General features: G+C 36.6%; 1 protein-coding gene across 12 annotated transcripts in view, besides 7 other annotated features; it reads right to left on the bottom strand.

Moving 5' to 3' along the window:
• The window catches only part of ADGRV1 (adhesion G protein-coupled receptor V1), a 605,641-nt gene that overhangs the window by 162,342 nt on the left and 419,097 nt on the right, over positions 1-24,202 (bottom strand). For all 12 annotated transcript variants that reach the window (NR_003149.2, XM_017009963.3, XM_017009969.3 and 9 more), the window contains one exon: positions 16,574-16,752. Coding sequence is in view for 11 of the 12 variants with exons in the window: in XM_017009963.3 (XP_016865452.1) it covers positions 16,574-16,752 (179 nt within the window). In the remaining variant the exon portion in view is untranslated. The remainder of the gene's footprint in view (positions 1-16,573; positions 16,753-24,202) is intronic.
• Positions 18,710-19,004: a silencer, noted in NCBI's record as "tiled region #3426; HepG2 Repressive DNase matched - State 10:DNaseD, and K562 Repressive non-DNase unmatched - State 8:EnhW". NCBI's record gives its function as "represses a minimal TATA promoter and a strong SV40 promoter by Sharpr-MPRA in HepG2 and K562 cells {active_cell/tissue: HepG2 | K562}" and the evidence as "EXISTENCE:reporter gene assay evidence [ECO:0000049][PMID:27701403]".
• Positions 19,978-20,122: an enhancer, noted in NCBI's record as "145 bp 5:90277863 sequence used in MPRA reporter constructs". NCBI's record gives its function as "activates a minimal TATA-containing promoter with rs11742722 allelic activity by MPRAs in UACC903 melanoma cells {active_cell/tissue: UACC903}" and the evidence as "EXISTENCE:reporter gene assay evidence [ECO:0000049][PMID:36423637]".
• Position 20,050: a transcriptional cis regulatory region, noted in NCBI's record as "rs11742722 or 5:90277863 MPRA-significant variant associated with a GWAS melanoma risk locus at 5q14.3". NCBI's record gives its function as "allelic transcriptional activity by MPRAs in UACC903 melanoma cells {active_cell/tissue: UACC903}" and the evidence as "EXISTENCE:reporter gene assay evidence [ECO:0000049][PMID:36423637]".
• Positions 20,166-20,310: an enhancer, noted in NCBI's record as "145 bp 5:90277675 sequence used in MPRA reporter constructs". NCBI's record gives its function as "activates a minimal TATA-containing promoter with rs11742679 allelic activity by MPRAs in UACC903 melanoma cells {active_cell/tissue: UACC903}" and the evidence as "EXISTENCE:reporter gene assay evidence [ECO:0000049][PMID:36423637]".
• Position 20,238: a transcriptional cis regulatory region, noted in NCBI's record as "rs11742679 or 5:90277675 MPRA-significant variant associated with a GWAS melanoma risk locus at 5q14.3". NCBI's record gives its function as "allelic transcriptional activity by MPRAs in UACC903 melanoma cells {active_cell/tissue: UACC903}" and the evidence as "EXISTENCE:reporter gene assay evidence [ECO:0000049][PMID:36423637]".
• Positions 21,543-21,687: an enhancer, noted in NCBI's record as "145 bp 5:90276298 sequence used in MPRA reporter constructs". NCBI's record gives its function as "activates a minimal TATA-containing promoter with rs10073898 allelic activity by MPRAs in C283T melanocytes {active_cell/tissue: C283T}" and the evidence as "EXISTENCE:reporter gene assay evidence [ECO:0000049][PMID:36423637]".
• Position 21,615: a transcriptional cis regulatory region, noted in NCBI's record as "rs10073898 or 5:90276298 MPRA-significant variant associated with a GWAS melanoma risk locus at 5q14.3". NCBI's record gives its function as "allelic transcriptional activity by MPRAs in C283T melanocytes {active_cell/tissue: C283T}" and the evidence as "EXISTENCE:reporter gene assay evidence [ECO:0000049][PMID:36423637]".

Genomic DNA, 24,202 nt, shown 5'->3' with positions numbered 1-24,202 from the left:
ATATTAAGATCTATAAGCATTCATGAAGGTGAAGAAAAAATTTAACTAAATGGAAAAATATCAGGCTAATCTCTTTAACACAAAATGCTAGAAAAAACAATATCATATTTTCTGAGTTCTGATGTGAATAATATCAAGCAAAAATAATGTTACAATATTTAGTGTCATAGGAAATAAACACAGCTTGCAATTGAATTAGCAACAACTGAGAGAAAAAGACACAAAGAGAAAAGAATTAGAGAAAATATAATGCAAATGTGTGAGATAGAAAGACCAAATAAGTTAATTGATATTCAGGAAAAAAAGAACCCTCCAAAATGAAATGGAATAAAATGGTATTGAAAGATGTAATTGAAGAAAAATGTTCTGAAACATGCAATAAAAATATACAAAAAGTTGGATAGATTTTACTGCAATTTAAAAACATAAATCACAAAGCGTGGCAAATATTTTCATCGAATACTACAAAGTAATAGCTTTAATAGGAACAAAGTTCTCACAAATCAATAACAAAACAAGAAAATGGACAAAAAATACAAACAGTTTGTAAGTACAAAATGGCCAATGAATAAATAAGAGTATGCCTAAACTCCCTGGTCTCATTAAAAAAATAGCAACAAAAACAATAACATATTATGACATGTGATGGTTAATTTCATGTGTCAACTTGAAATATGACATAATACTTTCACTGCAGACTTCTTAAAAAATGAAAAATGGCCAGGTGCAGTGTCTCATGCCTATAATCTCAGCACTTTGGGAGGTCATGGTGGGAGGATTCCTCCAGGTCAGCAGTACAAGACCAGCCTGGGTAACATAGTGAGACCTGGTCTCCACAAAAGATAAAAATATTAGCCAGGTGTGGTGGTACATGCCTGTAGTCCCAGCTACTAGGGAAGCTGAGGCAGGAGGATCACTTGAGTCCAGGAAGTTGAGGCTGTAGTGAGCCATTACTGCACCACTGCACTCCAGCCTGGGCAACATGAGACCCTGTCTCAAAAATAAAAGAAAAATGGAAACACAAAGGAGAACCTAACTTGACAGATATTTGGTCAAACATTATTCTGGGTGTTTTTTGTAAGAATGGTTTTAGATGAGATTAACATTAAAATTGGTGGACTGAGTGAAGCAGATTGCTCTCCCTACTGTGGGTGGGCCTTATCCAATTAGTTGAAGGCCTGAGGAAAAAAGGCTGATCCTTCCCCGAGTAACAGAGAATTCTTCCTGCCCAATAGCCTTCAAACTGGGACATCATTTTTTTTTCCTGCCCTTGTACTCAAATTGAAACATCAGCCCTCCTGGTTTTCCAGCTTGCCAACTCACCCTACAGATCTTGAGCTGGCCTCCATGACAGTGTGAGCCATTCCTTATAATAAATGTCTATAAACACACACACACACACACACACACACACACACACACACACAGATCCTGTAAGCTCTGTTTCTCTGGAGAGTCACCAAAAGTAATGGCAAAAACCACAATTACTTTTGCATCAACCTAATATACAATATTTACTATCAAAATCATACTGCTAATAAAACAATTAAGACTAACTAGCTCTTGCGTTGGGAGACTGGTACCTTCAAAAAATGTTACGATTGTAAATTTTCAACCTTTCTGGAAGACAGTTTCATAATTCCAATATTTCTAAAAATCTTATATCCTTAATCTAGTAATTTCATTTCAAGGGATCTGTGAAGTAGAAATACAACATAGCACATTCACTGCAGATTTTTAAATATTAAAAATGGGGATGGAGAGAATTTTAACATTCAATGCTGAGGAAAGGTAAACATGTTTGATAAATCTATCATGAGACAGACATTGTGAATCCATTAAAAAATGCTGAGGTATACTCAATGCATGGGAAATTCTAATAATATAACATTGAGTGAAATAAGCAGGAGATAAAATTGAGAGATCTCAATTTTCTATTATAAAACAAAAATGTATAAATCTAGACATAAACAGAAACACATCAAGTGTTTATATCTGAATGATGAGGATACCTCTGATTTTTATTTTTATTGTATATTTTTGCTTTCCATAATTTCTAAAATAAATATTGATTAATTTTATAAGAAAAATATAACATTATTTTCAGAAAAAGAAAGAGTAGGCAGATCCTTGCTTCTGAGAAGCTACAAAGTAAATAATACAAACCTCAAATCAATTGTCAGAAAATCCTTTTGAGCCAGGAATGGTTTTTCTTAAATTGTATGAAGTATCCTGTTTGACAAGATGCTTACATTTGCAGGTATTCCCTTTTTCATTAGAGACATCTACAACAGAACTTCCTCTATAAAGAACTGTTTTCTTTCCTGAATAATACACACTTGACCATCTGTGGTTGTACGAGCTTTTTCAGTTTTCCAACTGGAAATCTTTGAAATACTGAAAAAAACTTTGCATTATAGAGCTTCTGACAACAAAAGGTGCCCAATTTTCCATTTTATCACTAAAATTTGTAATGGGAATAAAAAAGATGAAATGTGATCTCATGAATATCTCTATCATTACAACTCTGCCACCCGCAATTTTACAATTACCTATTTCCTAATGCTCTATTCCGCTTGATATTTCAAATGCCTAAATTCTTAGCACTTTGCATTAAAAAGTAATCATTAATCTTCCTGATTCTGCATCTAGTTAATAAATTAGGATGAATATAGACTGAGACTCTTATGGCAACATATGTTTTCACCGTTTTAACCCTGAGTTAAAGTTAAACATAACTTTAAATGTTCTCAACATGTTAACTGTACTATTATTGTAGATGGAAAATTGAATTAGCACACAAAATATTTAAAATAATTATCTGAAACAATTTGATATCATACAAAAACTCATCTCATATTAAGATGTAAATTTCCTTAAAAATAGATAGGAGAAAGATGTGTTAATAGAGAAATAAAAATTCAGGAGAGACAAAAGCTAATAGCTATAATATAGCCCACCTCACCTCCAAAAGAAAAGAAGGAAACAAGAAAAGAGCAAGAACAAAGCACACTCTCTAAATCATTGAAAAACATGAGCAAGCAATCAGAAAAATTAATGTAGGGAGATGAACAAGTAATCCAAAAAAGAAACAAATGCTGTATAAATCTATGCAAAGATATTCAAACTCACAGGGTTGTATAAGAATTAATGAGAGTATGCACTTAGTAGAGTGTCTGGTACATGATAAATGAAGCTATTAAAACATAACTAATAATTAAAGAAATACAAGTTTAAGGTACTATATATGTGTATATTTAGGTGTGTGCAAATCACACTGGCAAACATTAAAAACTTATAATTCCCAGAGTTGGCAAGAATGTTGGGAAACAGGCACTGCCATTATTTGTTGCTTTAGTGTAAACACGTGCATCTTTTTAAGAAAACACTTTGACAATATCTTTTAAAGTAAAAAATTATACATATATCATTGAGTCATTCCACTGCTTGAAATTTTCCCTATAAAAATATTAACATAAGTGTACAAAGATACCTATATATGGATATTCATCACAACAATGATAAAAAGAAGAACTAGAAATAGTTCAGAAGTCTGTCAAAAAGGTTGATTAAATCAACACAATAGAACATTACAAATTATAATGTAATGGGTATTACATACTGACACAGAAAATGAGTATTACATACCGATACAGGGTATTACATACTGATAAAAAGCAAACTTTTTATTTACTTTTCAGTAAATAAAAAGTAAATTGGAAAGTGCACATGATATCCCATTTTTGTTGTGATTGTGTGTAAAAAAAAATAATGCTTACTTTTTAAGTCACCCAGTCTATGGTATTCTAGTACAGCAGCACTCACCGACCAAGACAGTCTCATAGAAGACTGTAAGCTTTAGAGACATTTTTCTTTCTCATTTATGATGAAAATAAAACAAGCTCCTAACTCAGGTTGGTAGAAGCTTCTGAGTTTCAGAAATATTAAAGAATTTAGTGCTTGCAATCTTTATGTCAAACATGAGTGCAGAAGAAAAGGATGGAAATGATGTAAATAATACTTTCAAAATAGCTGGAGATAGCAAAATGGTAAGCAACTCTTCAGGACTTACAGGGTCAACAATGTTTAACTGGGCTTGTCTGATTGTTTACATGTAATTACTACTTCATATGAGACACACATTCATAGACTTATACATATGGCTCTCACTTATTGTCCCCTGCTCTGTGCCAGGTACTGTACATGCATTTTCCCTAGACACATCATCTCGCTTAATCCACATCACAATCCTAGGACACAGGTTTTATGATGCCCATTGCACAGATGGAAAACTTCAAGCTCACAGAGGGTAAGTAATTTGCTCAGTGTCACACAACTAGAACATGCCTGAGTTGGTATTTGACTCATTGTCTATCTACCTCCAAAGCCCCTGCTCTTTCCACTGTACTCCAATCAAAGATAATTTTAGAGGCATATCTTAAGATATATTTAGTACAATGAGTTTGTGAAAATGTAATTTTAGGTCTTTGTATTTCAGTACCTGGGTATTCTAGATATGAAGTTGTGTTAGTCTATTCTCACACTGCTATAAAGAACAACCTGAGACTAGGTAATTTATGAAGAAAAGAGGTTTAATTGACTTATAGTTCTGCAGGCTGTAAAGGAAACATGGCTGGGGAGGCCTCAGGAAACTTACAATCATGGCAGAAGGTGAAGAGGAAGGAGGCATGTCTTCAATGGCCAGAACAGGAAAAAGAGAGAGCAAAGGGGAAGAAGCTACATACTTGCAAACAACCAGATCTCATGAGAACTCTATCGCAAGACAGCACTCTGGGGATGGTGCTAAACCATTAGAAACCACTCCCATAATCCAATCACCTCCCGCTAGGCCCCACCTCCAACACTCGGGATCAGAATTCAACGTGAGATTTGAGTGGGGATACATAACCAAACTATATCATACTACCACTGTCCCCTCCCAAATCTCATGTCCTCACATTTCAAAACACAATCATATCTTCTCAACAGCCCCCAAATATTAACTCATTTCAGCATTAACTCAAAAGTTCAAGTCCAAAATCTTATCTGAGTCAAGCCAAGTCCCTTCTGCCTATAAGCCTGCAAAATAAAAAACAAGTTAGTTACTTCCAAGATACAATGGTTGTACAGGCATTGGGTAAATGCTCCCATTCCAAAAGGAAGAAATTGGCCAAAACAAAGGGACTACAGGTTCCATGGAAATCCAAAACCCAGCAGGGCAGTCATTAAATCTTAAAGCTCCAAAATAATCTCTTTTGATTCTATGTCTCACATCCAGGCCACACTGACACTAGGCGTGGGCTCCCAAGGCCTTGGTCAGCTCTGACCCTGTGCTCTGCAGGGTACAGCCTCCACAGCTGCTTTCATGGGCTGGCATTGAGTGCCTGCTGCTTTTCCAGGCACATGGTGCAAACTGTCAGTGGATCTACCATTCTGGGGTCTGCAGAACTGTGGCCCTCTCCTCACAGCTCCACTAGGCAGTGTCCCAGTAGGGACTCTGTGTCGGGACTCCAACCCCACATTTCCCCTCTGTACTGCCCTAGTAAAGGTTCTCCATGAGGGTCCTACCCCTGCAGTAGACTTCTGTCTGGACATCCAGGCATTTCCATACATCCTCTGAAATCTAGTTGGAGTCTCCCAGGCTTCAACTCTTGTACTCTGTGCACCCACAGGCTTAATACCACGTGGAAGTTGCCAAGGATTCTTATGGCTTGCACCCCCTGGAGCGGTGGCCTGAGACATATCTGCGGCCCTTTTTGCCACAGCTGGAGCTGGAAGGGCTGGGATGCAGGGTATCATGTCCTGAGGTTGCACAGAGCAGTGGGGCTCTGAGCCTGGCCCACAAAACCATTTTTCCCTCCCAGGCCTCTGGGCTTGTAATGGGATAGGCTGCTGTGAAGTTTTCTGAAATGCCTAGGAGGCATTTTCCCCATTGTCTTAGCTATTAAGACTCAGCTCCTCTTTACTTATGCAATTTTCTGCAGTTGGCTTGAATTTCTACCCTGAAAATGGGTTTTTCTTTTCTACCTCATAGCCAGGCTGCAAATTTTCCAAACTTTTATGCTTTGCTTCCCTTTTAAATATTTCAGGTCATTTCTTTATGCAAATGAGCATAGGCTTTTAGAAGCAGCCAGGTCACATCTTGAACATTCTGCTGCTTAAAAATTTCTCTTCTGCAAGGTACCCTAAATCATCTCTCTCAATTTCAAAGTTCCAGAGAGCCCTAGAGCGGGGGCACAATGCCACCAGTCTCTTTGCCAAAGGTTAGCAAGAGTGACCTTTACTCCAGTTCTCAGTAAGTTCCTCATCTCCATCTGAGGCCACCTCAGCCTGGACTTCATTGTCTATATCACTATCAGCACTTTGGTCACAATAATTTAACAAGTCTCTAGAAAGTTACAAACTTTCCCTCATCTTCATGTCTTCTGAGCCCTCCAAACTGTTCCAATCTCTGCCTGTTACCCCATTTCAAAGTTGCTTCCACCTTTTCAGGTATCTTCATAACAATGCCCCACTCCAGGTACCAATTTTCTATATTAGTCCATTCTCGCACTCCTATAAAAAACTACCTGTGGCTGGGTAATTTATGAAGAAAATAGGTTTAATTAACTCACAGTTCCACAGGCTGTACAGAAGGCATGGCTGGGGAGACTCTCTAGACTCATATAGCCTGGAAAAATAGCCCTCATTCTGGGTACACTCTGGCACCCATAGGGGAGGAGGTTTGGGGAGCAAAATGAAGCTGGAGCTCTTTCAAAGCTTCAGTCCCAAAGAAAATCCCAACTTGCAAGGCTTTCTGTATTTCACGTATCTCAGAGTTCAGCCAATGCAAAAAATCTATTCCTTGGGTATAGGGTAAGGAGACAGGAAGTTACTTGTTAAAAACAACTAAAAGCAAGTGATTTAACATCATGGCTATCTGAGCCAGTGGATAACAACAATGGAGCAAAAAACCTCAAAAGCTTAAAAGAAAAGCTGGAGCATGAGATATACACATAAGCTTTGGAAAGCTCCAATACATTCCTGGGAATTTAAAATGCCATGTGCATGCTTGAGGCTTTGCTCATGTTCAGGAAAGACCTGAGAAGGCCCTAGACTCTCTTACCACTGGTTGACTTTGAGGGTATATATAATGTGAAGGTTAAGGCAGTTACTAACTTCCTGGTAGAGTGTTGAAGTCATGCCCCAACATGCACATAGAGCCTTCTGGCAAAGACTAGGAGATTTCTTCATTACAGGCATTTAAGGAAATCTCTGTTCAATCATTAGCTGACCACTAAATTAATGAAACAGAGATGTCAGTGGCCACGTGTGACAAAGAATATAGATATACGAAATTAAATCTGTAAATTCAGAAAAGTCAATAAATAGCAACTACTACTGTGAACAGAAACAACAAATCCTGAGAGAAAAATTTATGATTTCTAAAATTTCCACATAGAATGTCCAATTTTCAACAAAAATTTACAAAATATGCAAAAAACCAAGAAGATATGATGTATACACAAGAAAATAATGAATAGAAACTATCCCTCAGGCAACCCAGATGTTAGATTTACTGAACAAATACTTTAAATTAGCTATTTTAATTATGTTCAAAACATAAAAGAAACTATGTCTATATAACTAAATGAGCATATGAGAATGACATCAAATAGAAAATATCAATAAAGAGATAGAAATCATAAAAAAGAACCACATAGAAATTCTTGAATTGAAAAGTACAATAACTAGGCCGGGCATGGCAGCTCATGCCTGTAATCCCAGCACTTTGGGAGGCAGAGATGGGCAGATCACCTGAGGTCAGGAGTTCGAGACCAGCCTGGCCAACATGGTGAAACCCCATCTCTACTAAAAATATAAAAATTAGCTGGGTGTCATGGTGGGTGCCTGTAATCCCAGCTACTTGGGAGGCGGAGGCAGGAGAATTGCTCAAACCTGGGAGGCAGAGGTTGTAGTGAGCCAAGACCATGTCATTGCACTCCAGTCCAGCCTGGATGACAAGAGCGAAACTCTGTCTCCAAAAAAAAAAAAAGAAAAGAAAAGTACAATACCCAAAATGAAGATTTCACTAATGATGCCAAACAATAGGTATAACCAGGAAGAAAAAAAAAAAATTGGTAAATGTGAAGACAGGTCAATTGTGGTTACCATGTCTGAGGAACAGAAAAAAAAATAGAACCAAAAAAATTAACATAGCCTTAGATTTTTGTGGAACAGCATCAAATGTACCAATATATGCATAATAAAAGACTCAGAGGAGAGGAGGAGAAAGGATATTTGATAAAACAATGGCTGAAAACTCCCCAAACTGATTAAAAACATTAATCCACACATCCAAGAAGTTTCACAGACTCCACTCCGAGAGACCCACACCTAGATATATAAACTGTTGAAAGCCAAAGACAACGAGATACTTGAAACCAGCAAGTTAAATCATATGACCCAACAAATTCTACTCCTAGACATATACTCAAGAGAATTGAAAACATATGTTCATATGAAAAAACTTGTACTTTAACACTCTGTGTCATTCTAGCCAAAAATGTGTAAATTCCATCTAATCTTGAAAAAAACATTAGACAAGTTTGGAGTTATTCTATAAAATAACTGACCAGTACTCTTCAAAAGTGAAAACCGGCACAGCATGGTGGCTCACGCCTGTAATGCCAGCACTTTGGGAGGCTGAGGTGGGTGGATCACAAGATCAGGAGTTCGAGACCAGCCTGGCCAATATGGTGAAACCCCGTCTCTACTAATAACACAAAAACTAGCTGTGCATGGTGGTGCGTACCTATAGTCCAAGCTACTCGGGAGGCTGAGGCAGGAGAATCACTTGAACCTGGGAGGAGGAGGTTGCAGTGAACCAGGATCACGCCACTGCACTCCAGCCTGGGCGACAGAGCAAGCCTCCGTCAAAAAAAAAAAAAAAAAAAAAAAAGTGAAAACCAAGGAAAGACAGAGAAATTGTCAGATTGAAGACCAAGGACACACAAGCACTAAAGATAATGGGACATAGTGCATTGGATTTCAGAGTAGAAAAAAGACATTGGGGGAAAACTGGTGAAATTTGAACAAGGTTTGCAGTTTAAAGGGTTTTATCATTGTTAATTTCCTAGTTATGATCATTGTGCTATAATTATGTAAGTATGTATGCACACTGGATAAAAGGTATATGTAAACTCTATAATTTTTGCAATTTTTCTATAAGTTTAAAATTCTTAAAAGTAAAAAGAATTGACATAAAACAAGTTTAGAAGAGATCTATCAAAATAGTGAAGAGATGTTGCATGAAAAACTATATAAACCAATCAGAAATGTTTAGCTTGGAAAAAAGAACTGGGAGAAATATTTAAAGGAGTATCATGTGGAAAATATCACATTATTTTGCTTGCTTGCAATGAACCCAGCAATTAGAAATTAAACCAGAATCTAAAAGAGATAGCTTCCTATTCTACACAAAGAAGTCTTGGGAGAAAGTGTGTTCTTTCTCACGGAAGAGTTCAAACATAAAGTGAAAGAATGTTTGTCAGCAATGCTGTGAAGGTTACTCAAGAACTACACGGAGATTGGATGAAAAGCTTGATAAAGTTCTTTTTACACCTAGGTTCCACCTTCTGTGCAAAGCGGATCCAGGAACTAAGGGAAGCCAAGAGAGATATAACTCAAAACATTAGTTGGATTTTTCTCAGAGAGACAAAGCAGTAATCAGAAAAGCTAAGGTTGTGGTTTGGAGTGATAATAATGTAAAAATCAAACTAAGAGAACAAGGTATTAGCAGAACAAATTGTATAATTAATCGCCATAAAAAGTCAGATATACTGAGCATGTTTAGAATAAAAATTTGAAGGAGTTAACAGGCCTTTGAATAAGAATTTGAATCATGTTTTAAGGATGTGTGGGAAACTTTATTAAAGCAAGCTAGACATCTAACTCTTAGATTCCATTAACCTAAGAAGACTTCGTGGGGAAGCGTACTTTCAAGATTTTTTAATTTTAAGGTCTGAATAGATAGAAAATGCTAGTCTAAGGTTGCTATTTTTATGTGGATGTACTTGTGTTTCTGTATGCGTGTGCATGTGCACCCACAGGCAGTAATATATCCCTACCTGAGCAAATGCATGAAGAGATCCTGACAACATTCCTTTTCAAAGATGTATGGTGACTTTGTTCACTCCTCAGACAATAAGTAAATGTGCTCTCTAACAAACTTTTTTTTCATGATTCTCTTTTAAAGTAATTTAATGAAAATAAAGACTCTCATATGATATCATATTTCCCATAGAGTACAATTACTTCTACTTAGTTCTAATTTAGAATAGAGATTTGTCCTCTATATTAATAACATTTCTTCTAATATAGCTTGCAAAATTAGATTATTTTCAGAGGATTTAGCAAAACTGGTAATTTAGTTCAGAAGCAGGATAATCAGAGTAGGTTATAATAAAGATTTGTTTAGTGTATCTAAAGTAAAACATAATGCTGAAATACTAAAAAACTGAAATACTAAAAAACTAGGCTGGACATGATGGCTCATGCCTGTAATCCTAGCACTTTGGGAGGTGGGAAAATTGCATGAGCTCAGGAGTTTGAGACTAGCCTGGCCAACACAGCAAGACCTTGTCTCTACAAATTAAAGACAAAAAACAAAAAAACTAAAAAACAGTAATCAATTTTAAAATTAAGTTATGAAGTTACGCAATTTTTTCATTACAATCAAATTCTAAGCTTAGGCATAAGAGAATTCACTTAAGCCTTTGTATATAGTCATTATTCAATAAGTTATTTGTTGATTTTTCTTAAGCTTGAATTCATATGAATTAGTAAGGATGAAACAAAGCAGGCATTTTAGAAGTACAAAACAACCTATCATCTTTATTGTGTCATTTTTACTGTTATTGACATTTATTAATGTGTTGGGGTTGCTTAGAAGTTAGAATATTGAGATCAAAGTAATGTCTTCATTGTCCTCTCACCTCTGTATGGCATGTCTTTGACACTCACTCCAATCACTCTATCAATATTCACATAACTGGGGTTCCAGATAAAAGGCATATTCTCTATGTATGAACATTCCTCAGGACCACATTCCCTTTACTTCCACCCTGGGTCTTGACTCTTTTTATATTCTCTTTTCCCCTCCCTACACTTTGCATGATAAGGTCTCCTTTAGCTTGTTTTCTTTACCTAAAGTAGCCAAGAATCTGTCCCAAGAAAACTAGGTGACTACTTCCAAAGACATTCAATATAAAACTACTCAATAGAGACTACTTCCAGGTACTCTCAATAGAGTTACTTCGGGTAACCAATAGCAATCACTCAGGGGCAGATTTCATTTACTTTTGCCTTTGTTTTAGTTTAAGCACCGTCCAATTATAAGATAGAAAAGAAGTTGGAAGCATTTCTAGCACTAATTTCAAAAGCGATAAATATATCCTTTAGGGGTCTCCAAACCCAGGGCCGTGGACTGGTACCTGCCCATGGCCTACTAGGAATAGGGCCGCACAGCAGGAGGTGAGCGGTGGGAGAGCCAGCATTACCGCTTAAGGTCTGCCTCCTGTCAGATCAGTGGAGGCATTAGATTATAATAGGAGTATGAACCCTATTGTGAACGGTGCATTGTTAAGGCCTTCCTTTTTCTAGTTTAGATATTTCCACTAAGGGATAAACTTACCAACCCTTTCCATAGAGTCTGTAAGTAATCACTGTTCTCCAGGCTGAATTTCAAGTTACATGGCTGGCATAAACAAATATTTTCAATATAGTATAATTAGTACAATCTTAGGATTTATGAAGGGTTGTGAGTCTACCAAGGCTATATATAAGAGGTAGGGTTTTAATCTGAAAACAGATACTTTACTAAGTTGATATTTAAGTTGATGCTTTGAGGAAAAACAGGGACTTTGTAGGTAGACAAATGAAAGAAAGGGATTTGAGATATAAAAGATATATTCAAAGGTATACAAATAAGAGATCATGGCTGGGCGCAGTGGCTCACGCCTGTAATCCCAGCGCTTTGGGAGGCCGAGGTGGGCGGATCACCAGAGGTCAGGAGTTCGAGACCAGCCTGACCAATGTGGAGAAACCCCGTCCCTACTAAAAATGCAAAAAATTGGCCAGGTGTGGTGGCATATGCCTGTAATCCCAGCTACTCAGGAGGCTGAGGCAGGAGAATCACTTGAACCTGGGAGGCGGAGGTTGCAGTGAGCTGAGATCACGCCATTGCACTCCAGCCCGGGCAACAAGAGTGAAATTCCGTCTCAAAAAAATAAAAAAGAAATAAGAGATCATGGGAAACATCAAGCAATTCAGTTACAAAGGAAAACAAGGGAGGAGAGTGGGAAGAATGATTTTTAAAAAACTGGTTCAGCAGTTTAGTGTGAAACCATGGATGACCTATCAAGCTACAACCTTGAAGGTAACAAAAGGCAACCATTGGGTTTTAAGCATCAGAGTAATACAATCATTTCCATATTTCAGAACTTAATGGATAGATTATAAAATGAAGAAATTATAGATAGGGGCACAAGTTAGGAGGCAACGCAACATACCAAAGAAGACAGAAGCTGAACTGAAGAGATGAAATAAGAGATGATGGTTGAAATGAGAAACTGGATTAGGAAAACAAACATTTAGGAGTTAGATTAGAAAATAATTCATGATTATAGAATATTGAGTGTAAGGTGAAAGAAGTAGAAAGTAACTTGGGTTCACAACCTGTGTATGTGGGTGGATAGTGGACATTTCATAGAGAATGTGGGTCAAAGCATTTTAGGATATCAATTTTAAACATACTAAATATGAAATAGTGTGAAGAAATAGGAACACTTTTACACTGTTGGTGGGACTGTAAACTAGTTCAACCATTGTGGAAGTCAGTGTGATGATTCCTCAGGGATCTAGAACTAGAAATACCATTTGACCCAGCGATCCCATTACTGGGTATATACCCAAAGGATTATAAATCATGCTGCTATAAAGACACATGCACACGTATGTTTACTGTGGCACTATTCACAATAGCAAAGACTTGGAACCAACCCAAATGTCCAACAATGATAGACTGGATTAAGAAAATGTGGTACATATACACCATGGAATACTATGCAGCCATAAAAAATGATGAGTTCATGTCCTTTGTAGGGACATGGATGAAGCTGGAAACCATCATTCTCAGCAAACTATCCCAAGGACAAAAAACCAAACACCACATGTTCTTACTCATAGGTGGGAATTGAACAATGAGAACACATGGACATAGGAAGGGGAACATCACACACCGGGGCCTGTTGTGGGGTGGGGGGAGGGGGGAGGGATAGCATTAGGAGATATACCTAATTTAAATGACGAGTTAATGGGTGCAGCACGCCAACATGGCACATGTATACATATGTAACTAACCTGCACGTTGTGCACATGTACCCTAAAACTTAAAGTATAATAAAAAAAAAAGAAATAGCTGTGTGTCACTCTGGTAAAGATATTTATAAGACATTTGAATATATAATATGGGTATGGAGCTCAGAAAAGTGTTTTATAGGCTAGAGACACAACTTCAGGGGTTATCATATAGAAAATGTCAAGCCATAAGAATAGATAACAACGTACAGGGGGAAAAGTAGACCAAAGTCAGCACTTAGGAAACACCAGTATTTAAAGTATTTTCACTGCTTTCCATAAGAAATTTAACCCTAGATTATATAAATTTGGTAAAATTTTGGACTTTGTCTATATTTAATCAGTAACACTTAACCAGGGTATTACTATTTAAAATGCAGACATGCACACTATCTATAAAATCCATCTTAAAATACTGAACTATGTATAATGAAATAGCTTGTACATGATTTATAATTCCATCTAGAATAATCAGACAAAATAAAATTAAAGCAAAATCAACCAAACAAAACCATTTGTTTGAAGGCACTGTAAAGCTGTTGAGGCAGCCAACATTGACAGGCCAATCTTGTAAAGAAGAGAAGCTTATTGAAATCAGCGCTACATTCAGCATACCACTTTTCCCTTCAGGGTATCCGCCTATTAATACTTGGAGAAGAAAGGGAGACTGAAAATCCAGGATGAGGAAAGATGCTGAGAGTCAGGAAAGCCAGCGAATTATCTGGCAATCTCAAAGAGCTAAGGAGACAAAAATTAGACTTCAGGGCTGGCAGGAAAGAGAACTTGAGAAAACACGTTCCAGAAAGAAGTGAACAAGACACTTGGAGATTTTCCCCTTGAGGCATTTTTAAAAATTCTTAGCTCTTCCATAATGAGCTAAGAATTTTAAAATTCTTCTAGGGAAGAGCCTAGAAGACAAGCAAAATACTATGAAGTAACCACTGCCCAACAGATGGGCCATTAGTTCATACAACCATCAATCTATTATGACCTCTAGAGAAATGGCATGCTTTAAAATGATGATATAAGTATACAATATTTTAGTATAAATAATATATCAGTTTATAACCTTATATTAAAATTGAAGTAAGATATAGAATTTTTATAAGCTAGAATAAATTCGTATGGGAATGACTTAGGAATATTCTTTGTGAATTAAGGAGAAAAGTAACCTGTAATGCAAAGGTTAGACACGCTGATCTAATAATTTTTTTTTTTTTTTTTTTTTGAGTCAGAGTCTTGTTCTGTAACCCAGGCTGGAGTGCAGTGGCGTGATCTTGGCTCACTGCAACTTCCGCCTCCTGGGTTCAAGTGATTCTCCTGCCGCAGCCTCCCGGGTAGCTGAGACTACAGGCATGCGCCACCACGCCTGGCTAATTCTTGTATTTTTACTAGAGATGGGGTTTCACCAGAATGGTCTTGATCTCCTGACCTTGTGATCAGCCTGTCTCCGCCTCCCAAAGTGCTGGGATTACAGGCGTGAGCTACCACGCCCGGCCTCTGGTCTAACAAATCTTTAAGATTAAAACCAGGTAGAAGTAACTATATTTTACATTTCACTTATTATAATTTAGTTGGTCATAGAGAACATTTACCAAAAGCTTAAGAAGGCAAATACTTTGAGTAAGCTCATTTGGACATTCTTTGATCATAGTTTATTTCTCCCTTTAAAAATCCTTTTAAAAGGATCAAGATAGTTTTTTCTAATTAATATTACATTCATTGGGTCCATTTAGCAAGGCTGGATGGGTATACATGTAATGCTAAAATTAAATAAGTCCTGTCTTGCCAGGGAGCTCATGAAAAGAATGATCTGCTAGCCACCACGGCTTGCTTCGTGGTTACTTTGCATATCACAAAGAATGACGTAGAATTTTCTGAAATTAATCCTGGCAGTCCACGATTTAAATTAATGCAAGGGATAGTAAAATGTAAAAAATCATAATATAATTCTGAAAGATGCCATCGTTCCTTTTTAGAAGATTATAGGAATATAGACTTGTATATGCATAAAATACATTATAATATAAAATAATCAGTATTAGGGAGTCTTTTGAATTTCAATAAAAAGACAGAATTACAAAAATACATAGTATATTAGTGTGTGTATTGTGTTTGCATGTTTGTGTACGTTTGTGTGTTTAGGTGTGTTTTACATAGCTAGCCTCCTTTATCTGAATGTGGTATGGGGTATGTGTCTGTGATTGCCTATGTGTGAAATACATTTGTATACATCAATAACAAGTATTTATTAAGTATATAATTGATCATAAGCAATAATTCTATTAAAATGACTGCTGATATAGTACTTTAACTTTCAATATTTTTCATGTCTACTAGCTAATTTTATCTTCATAATAACCTGTGAGATAATTAAGTAATACTGTCTTCAAAAGATTGTGAATAGGCTATTTTTTCTTATTTAGAATTCTACTTTTTCTCTTCCTTATACCAAGAATTGGTTGAGCTTTATTATTGCAAAGTGTTTTTCCACCCCCTACATGTGGAGCTATTAAGAGGGGCTCAGTGGTCCTCAAAGCTACAACATACCGGATTTAGGATTAAGTCACATATATATATATATATGCATAATATATATATATATATATTATGCATATATATGTGCATATGTACATAAAAAAGTGTTAAGATTTCAAGATTAAAAGGGTATTTTAATAAGAATATCTAAGACCAAGGTGATCTTGTCTTGTTCCTATGCACTTCTTCAGACACTCTCCATTCACTGTGAGGCAGTCGTTCAGTATTCAGGGATCTTATGGGTGATGGTGGCTGCCATCCCCCACCCTCACCAAAAACACACTGCTTAGAGAATGTGCCACACTCCAACTGTTTTCACAAATTCTTTATCAAAAATTTCATAGTGCCCTGATTTTGCTAAATATTAGTTTGCTCCAATCTAATAAACTAAATGCTAAGGTACAAATTACCATGAACTGTTTGATACACCAACTCACTTGAGAAAACTGCATCTACCAAAGAAACTTGAGAGGCCACAGCTTCCTATTTAAAAGAGTAATTAGAGTAAGCAGAGCTTCAGACACTGTGGCAGAAAAGCAAAGATCTTCCTGGTACTTATTCAATCACAGCTCTTATGGCAACGAAATCTGCTTAGGTACATGAAAGCTAGGGCAATGTGTTGCCTGGGTGTACTTACAGGTCACCATGAATGAGTCCATAGATCTGTGACATGCTCTGATGATAGATTCCTTTCAAAATAACTATGAGGAGAATCACCACAAAAGCTGGTAGTCCCCAACTCAGAAGGAAAAACAGCAGATATCGCCTCTCTGTGTGCTCATCATTCATCACCAGCACGTACCAGAAATTCACAGACTAAGGAAGAAAACAACATAAAATGAACAGGCTCTTCTTTAATGGCACAGAACACAAACTCTACTGGCTTAGGCAATGTTACCGACCAACAAAAGGCCAGGATCTACTTAATAATTAGTTTTGATTTTTTTAAGTTAGTTCATACATTCATTCTTTCATAACAATTTCATTCTTATCCAAGAAATTCAGGATACCTCAAAATTCTGGAAACACAGGGAAATATTTAGTTGATTTGCTGTATTTTTTATTTGCCTTAATTTGCTCTGATTTACTCTCAGTTACAATCTTCTATGACTGTTTTGTAAACGTGTCTTTGAAGAAACATACTCTGATATGCAAACCTACTTCCCACATTAACTTCCAGGTGATAATGAAATAAAAAGCCCTATATTTTCAAGCTTTTTGACAATTTTTATTTATTGAGGGCCTATCATATGGCAGGGCCAGATACTGTTCTAGTGGGGAAATAACGTTGAAGACAACCTTGATCTCAGTGTCCAGTGGAAGGTGTAGACAAATAAACAGAAAATGATCGCACAGAGAGAAAGTACTATAGTGGTGTTCATTTTGTGGTCCATGTTTCCCAATTTATACTCTCTCCCTTTTGTTCATTCACATGACAAATATTTATTGCTTACTAAATTTCACAGACCAGTGTAGGTGCTGGGGATACAGCAGTGAAAGAGATGGGGTGGTATTTACTTTCTTGAACCTTAGTTTCCAAATAAGTGGGACACAAATAATTAAGGGCAATATTTCTTTTATATTATATTTACATCACATCTTATATCTGTTATTTCCTACTGAGATAAAACATATAAATGGGACAAGTGTGTAGAGTGAAGGGGGATGAGGGGACACATTAAATAAATAAGAGTAAGAAAACTGAGGCCTATAAATGCTATGTTGGCTCCAAATCCCACACCTAACTTGGATCTAAGTCTTCTAGTGTCTTCTTTCCATAAGGAATGCTCATATTTAATTATCATTTAGTACAGTAACAATATTGAATGCCATGCCATACATATTTCAAACAGTAATACTTATTGCCTGGATAAATCCTCCTTCTCAATTTTGTATGGTAGAAAGAGTGTGAGTATGAATGAATTATATATTATGTCTATATTATTATATGTCTATAATTCATTCATACTCATTAATGTTATACTTTAAGTGGATAATCTTGGGCAAGTCACAACATTTTCAGAGCCTCAGTTGCATGTATACAACAAGGTTATTATAAAGATTAAATGAGATGTTACATGTAAAGTGCTGAGCACATACATAGTCAATGCTGGAAAATGTGACTGCCTCTTCTTAAATCTCTTATTAAGAGGTCAGACAGTGTGAAAGACAAAAGATAAACACTTTTCTATTTGAAAAATAAGCATTCCTAATGTTTGTGGGAAGGCTTTCAGATGTTTTATTTACTGAGGCTTCTGAGTAAGATTGTATCTGTACCAAATTAGCCTTGAGGGATTAGTATTAGGCTAAACCAGGGAAGGATAAAAATGTTTGGTTACTTAGAGATTTGTGTCTCTGAATTTTATTTCCTGCCAGCACTCCATATCTCTATGTACATCTGCTTATATCTGTAATTATGAAGCATGTTTTGAGTTGTTGCTTATGTAACTTTGTTCTAATTCATTTTTAAAAATTACTAGATCCAACTTTTTTTTTCTTTCTATAATTAATATAGGGATGTGGACTCAAATAAGCGGGGTTGTGTAAAGTGTTGTTGCTGGGGTAATCAATACTGCCTGTTAAAGAATGAAAATTCATACAAAGCAAGAATCATTGATTAATCCATCTTCTAAACAAAAGTACTAATTATTTATGTTGGATAGATGCTTGTGTGCATCCATGTGACATCGTAACTCGGTGGTGCAGTAGGTGGAAGAGTCAAGGAGGAGGGTACAGATTGCTAAATGACTCTAAGCTGATTCACCATGATAAAGATTGAGACATTTTCAAAATGTCTGCTTTTACGCAGAAGGACATTAGTTCCATCAGTCAGAATTACTCAACCTGTCAGCAGCTGTCTGGCCTTGACCACAGGCTCAGATAAGACTGAGACAAATGTAATTGTTAGATTTATACATGCAGTGCTTCTGTCCCAAAGAGCTCAAGGCCCAGAGTGGCTGAATTACTGAATACTTGATTAAGTAAAACAAGCTTCAAATGTCATAAGCTTTTGCCAATTATAAATAAAAAATAATTTAAATTTCTTCTTAAAAGAATATGATCACTGAAATATACTCTAGAGAAGTATTTCCCATAATATATCATTTTTAAAGCTATGGACTAGAAATACTAGAATGTAATGGAACAACATTTAATTATTTTAGAAACATTACATAGGCCAAACGTAAGATTTGTGTTGACTAGCTCATTTCAAGTTTTACTTGAATTTTATTTTAATGTAGTGTGGTAGGCACATTTTTGGACAAATGCCTAGCTCATGAGCAGCCCTTTTCCAAACCCTGCCTCTCTAACCCTCCTCCCACCACATGCAGAGTGCGCTCAGTGTGCTCTGTGTACTCCCTGACATTGCTCCCCTGGCCACAGCTGATTTAATCAGGGGAGAAGCCTGGCCCGGCTGAGCCAATCATCTACACTGAATTCCTTGATGTTCCATGAGTGTCTAAGCTGGTCGACTGAAGTAAGTGGACATAGAAAGGGCGTAGCCATGAGGGCAGTGAAGCAGAGGTGTGTTAGTAGAGAAGAATGCTCACAGTCCCTGTGAGGTCTAACTGTAGTTACAGTTCTTAGGTTCAATGAGTTATCCAAAATGCCTTTACAATTTCAATGTTTGTTTACATTAGCTCAACTTAGTTAACTTAGTTTTTCTTTCTTCTTCCACCCAAAACTTGAATGAGATGTATTAATGTATTGCTTTCCCAAAGCAGTGGTGTTAAAATCTCTAGTTACTGCCATTTTTTTTAAAAACCAAAAGAAGATGGTGGAGCATTTGACTATACAATATGTCCTCACTTAATACCATCAATAGGTTCTTGGAAACTGCAAAATTAAGCAAAACAAAGTATCATGAAACCAACGTTACCATAGATTAACTGATACAGAAAAGAGTTAAGTTCCTATGGCATGTTTCTGGTCACAAAACAATGACCAAGCTTCTAAATAAAGACCTAAATACTTCTCATATTAAACAATGAATTAAGTGTGACCTATACATACCTTTAAGAAAGATGGATAAGAACAAGTGAGATGATTATTTTTACAAAATTTTTTTTTAGAGACAAGGTCTTGCTCTGTCACCCAGGCTGGAGTGCAGTCGCATGATCATAGCTCACTGCAGCCTTGAAGTCCTGGGCTCAAGCAATCCTGACACCTCAGCCTCTCAAGTAAGTAATTTATCCAGGTTTTGGTGAATCAATGAGTGCCACTGGTTGTCATGATGGTGGGTTAAATCAAGGAATCAATGTTTGCACAGTGAAAATTGTCAGGAGCACCTTCTACCACTAGGCATGTCAAAAACAATCACAAACATGGCAGGCTCCCTGTGCACTTCTGTACAGCATTGTTTATTGTCCTGCATTTACATGATTTACTTTCTTCATATACTTTATAAATTTTTATTTTACAATAATTTGTATTCACTTATTCATTCATTTTATAACCTGCTTATTCCAGTTCAGGGTCAAGGATGACCAGAGCCCATTCTGGCAGCTCAGGGCACAAGGCAGGAACCAGCCCTGGACAGGATGTCATCCCATCACAGGGTGCACTCACACATACACACCCATGCACATGCAGAGCGGGAACATCTAGACATACCAATTAAGCCAACGTGCACAGCTTTAGGATGTGGGAGGAAACCCAAGTACTAGAGAAAACCCATGCAAACATGGGGAGAACATGCAAACTCCACTGTGAAAAGAAAATAAATCTTGGGGCCCCCAAATCACTAAGCTAAAGGGAAAAGTCAAGCTGCGACTGCTTAGGGCCAACCTGCCTCCCATTCTATTCAAAGTTACCCCTCTGCTCACTGAGATAAATGCGTATCTGATTGCTTCGTTTGGAGAAGCTAATCAGAAACTCAAAATAATGCCTCAAAAAATGTATCTTCTCTACCTATGACCTGGAAGCCCACTCCCCACTTTGAGTCTTCCCACTTCTGCTTTGGGTTGTCCTGCCTTTCCAGACTGAACCAATGTTCACCTTCCATATGTTGATTGATGTCTCATGTCTCCCTAAAATGTATAAAACCAAACTGTGCTCTGACCACTTTGGGTACATGTTATCAGGACCTCCTGAGGCTGTATCATGGGCGTGTGTCCTAAACCTTGGCAAAATAAACTTTCTAAATTAACTGAGACCTGTCTCAAATTTTCAGGGTTCACATCTCACAGAGAGTAACCAAGGCTAGCAATTTATTTATTTTCTCATCAATGTTACAATAAAACGATATTGAATGAAATGATATTACTTGAGGACCTGTTGTATTCCTTTCCTTGAAATCACTGTTCTTCCTTCATAATCTAACTTAAGAGTATTAACAGATCATTATATTTGCACAATAATTTAATGTTAACAGATATATAGCAAATGTGATCTGTGTGCCTGATTGACTATGCGTTTATCCAATGTGGAACTAACAGAACGCAAGTCAAAGGGTGTCGCTCACCTAAATATGCTTCATGCTAACTAAACATAGCTTACTGTTCACTGTTTATCTTACACGTTTTCTGCTAAAGACTGTACTAAAATATTCAATATGTAGGTCTCTATTTACACTTCTGTTTCTAAGCTTTTAAAATGTTGTTAGAAGGATCTTATAAACTATCTTAAGACCACCCACCCTCACAATGTAGTCATGTCATTTTTAGCCGAAATGTTATTATGCCCAAAGTTAACCAACTAAATTCATCCTACTTGACTGTTTCTACATTTCATACACACTCCGAATACAAAGTTTCCTAGCATTAAGGTCATTTAAACAGATACGATATAGTCTCTGAAGACAAGTCCAAAAAAATTCCAAAATATTTTCAGCATTATAAACCACCAAATTTGTCAGTTGGAAAGAGACAATTAAATGAAAATTTTTTTAGCTTAAAAATCAGTGATGTTACTAAATAGTCTCATCTTTAATAACTCTAAACATTAGTATATTAGAGCTACCATCTTCTTATTTTCATTGTTGCTTATCAGGAAAGATGATGTACTCTTGAATTCTCACACTTCTCACAATTACCAGCATATCATGATCACCTAGGTAACTGTACTTGGGAGTACCTAATTGAAAGCCCATTTTAATAAATGTAAAGAAAACTATGTAATGCTATTTTTGAAAATTTCCTATTACAAACACAATCTATACAAATACGGAAAAGGAAGATTTGCAAAGGACTCATCCAGAAGTAAAGGTCCAGGTGAATAATAAGTTATATAGATGTTATATATTTTTTAAAAATCTACAAAATTCAAAAGGACATGATTATTAGTAACTTGATTTGGGTCTTTGACATGGTTCTGCAATGGATAAACTGCTTTTTGGCCAATTTCACTTGGCTTCTCTGGGTTTTAATTTCCTTCTGTGGTAAAAGGAGAGGTTACATTTTTAGTTATTCATAATTTCCTAACACTGTGATTGATTATTGCAGAAATGACAATTCTTTAAGTAAAAACACTAATGGCATGGATGTATGCAGACTATGTTTTTTTAGCAGCAACACAGATCTTACAAGTCATCTTACCATGCCCTCTTATAAGGAAACTGAGGCAATGAAAGAACAGCATAGCTTTTTCATCTTCTGGTTAGCTATAGAACTGGGAGTGCAACATACTCCAAACTGCCTTGTAAAGGCTGATTATATTTAAGATTTATTTCCATATAAATTGACACAAATAGGCTGGGCACGGTAGCTCACATCTGCAATCCCAGTACTTTGGGAGGCCAAGGTGGGAAGACTGCTTAATCCCAGGAGTTCCAGATCAGCCTGGGCAACATAGGGAAACCCCGTCTTTACAAAAAATACAAACAATTAGCCAGGCATGATGATTACATGCCTGTAGTCCCAGCTACTCAGGAGGATAAGGCGGAGGATTGCTTGAGCCAGGGAGGCGGAGGTTGCAGTGAGCCGAGACTGCGCCACTGCACTCCAGCTGCAGTGACAGAACAAGACCCCATCTCAAAAAGAAAAAAAAAAAAAGAAATTGACACAAATATTGACAATATTATTATTTACATGAGAACTTCCTGTTCTCATTTTTTTTCACCACTCACTTTAAATGCCAGTGGAGATATGTTTTACTTGTAGAAGTAAAAAGATAATTTGTTCTGTATCTTCATTTTTTTCCTAAGTCTTAAGGAAAACTTACAAAGGCTTATCAGAATATAATACCCAAAACAATTGTGAACTATGGATTAATTTTTCTTTACCTTGTAGTACCTATTAAAATGCTTTGCATATAATTTTAATTGAGAAATATGAAATAAATGAAGATGTACACAATTTGTTTTGAGCATTTAAAACATTTTATTGACTTTAACAATAATTTTACAATTTATTTGGTTTAGTTTTGAGTTTGTTTATATACATATATATGCCACCTTGTTAAAAATAATTTTATTTAAATGTGTTTAAATTTTTAATTAAAATGGGTACACAATAGGTATATATTTATGGGGTAAGTGTGATGTTTTGATACAGGCATACAATCTGTAATAATCAAATCAGGGTAATTGGGGTATCCATCACCTCAACCAGTTATTATTTCTTTGCATTAGGAACATTCTATTCCACTCTTTTCATTATTTTAAAATATACAGTAAATTTTTGTTGAGCACAATCACCCTGTTGTGCTATCAAATACTAGATCTTATTCATCCTAACTATATTTTTGCGCCCATTAACCATCTCCTCCAGAAAGAATTTTAGAAGACTCCATAATTTTAATCGATTTGGCTGAACTCCCAATGAAGGACAGAAGTTAACTGGTGAAAAGTGAAAAACGTTGAAGGTAATAGTTTAAGAGGGGAAGAATGAAACAAATATTTATTTATTTATTTATTTATTTATTTTGAGATGAAGTCTCGCTCTGTCCCCCAGTCTGGAGTGTAGTGGCGCGATCTCGGCTCACTGCAAGCTCCGCCTCCCGGGTTCACGCCATTCTCCTGCCTCAGCCTCCCTAGTAGCTGGGACTACAGGCGCCTGCCACCATGCCTGGCTAATTTTTTGTGTTTTAGTAGAGACGGGGTTTCACTGTGTTAGCCAGGATGGTCTCGATCTCCTGACCTCATGATCCCCCCACCTCGGCCTCCCAAAGTGCTTGGATTACAGGCTTGAGCTACCGTGCCCAGTCAAAACAAATATTTATTCATTGATTAATAAACGTAGGCCAAACATAAAGTTATATATCATTTAATCAAGACTTTCCCCCTAGGTTTTACTATGTTCTGTTTACACCGGAGGAAACGGAGGAT

The sequence above is a fragment of the Homo sapiens genome, chromosome 5 (assembly GCF_000001405.40).
Source record: "Homo sapiens chromosome 5, GRCh38.p14 Primary Assembly".
NCBI classification, from domain to species: Eukaryota; Metazoa; Chordata; class Mammalia; order Primates; family Hominidae; genus Homo; species Homo sapiens.
This window is presented reverse-complemented; position numbering and strand designations above follow the sequence as displayed.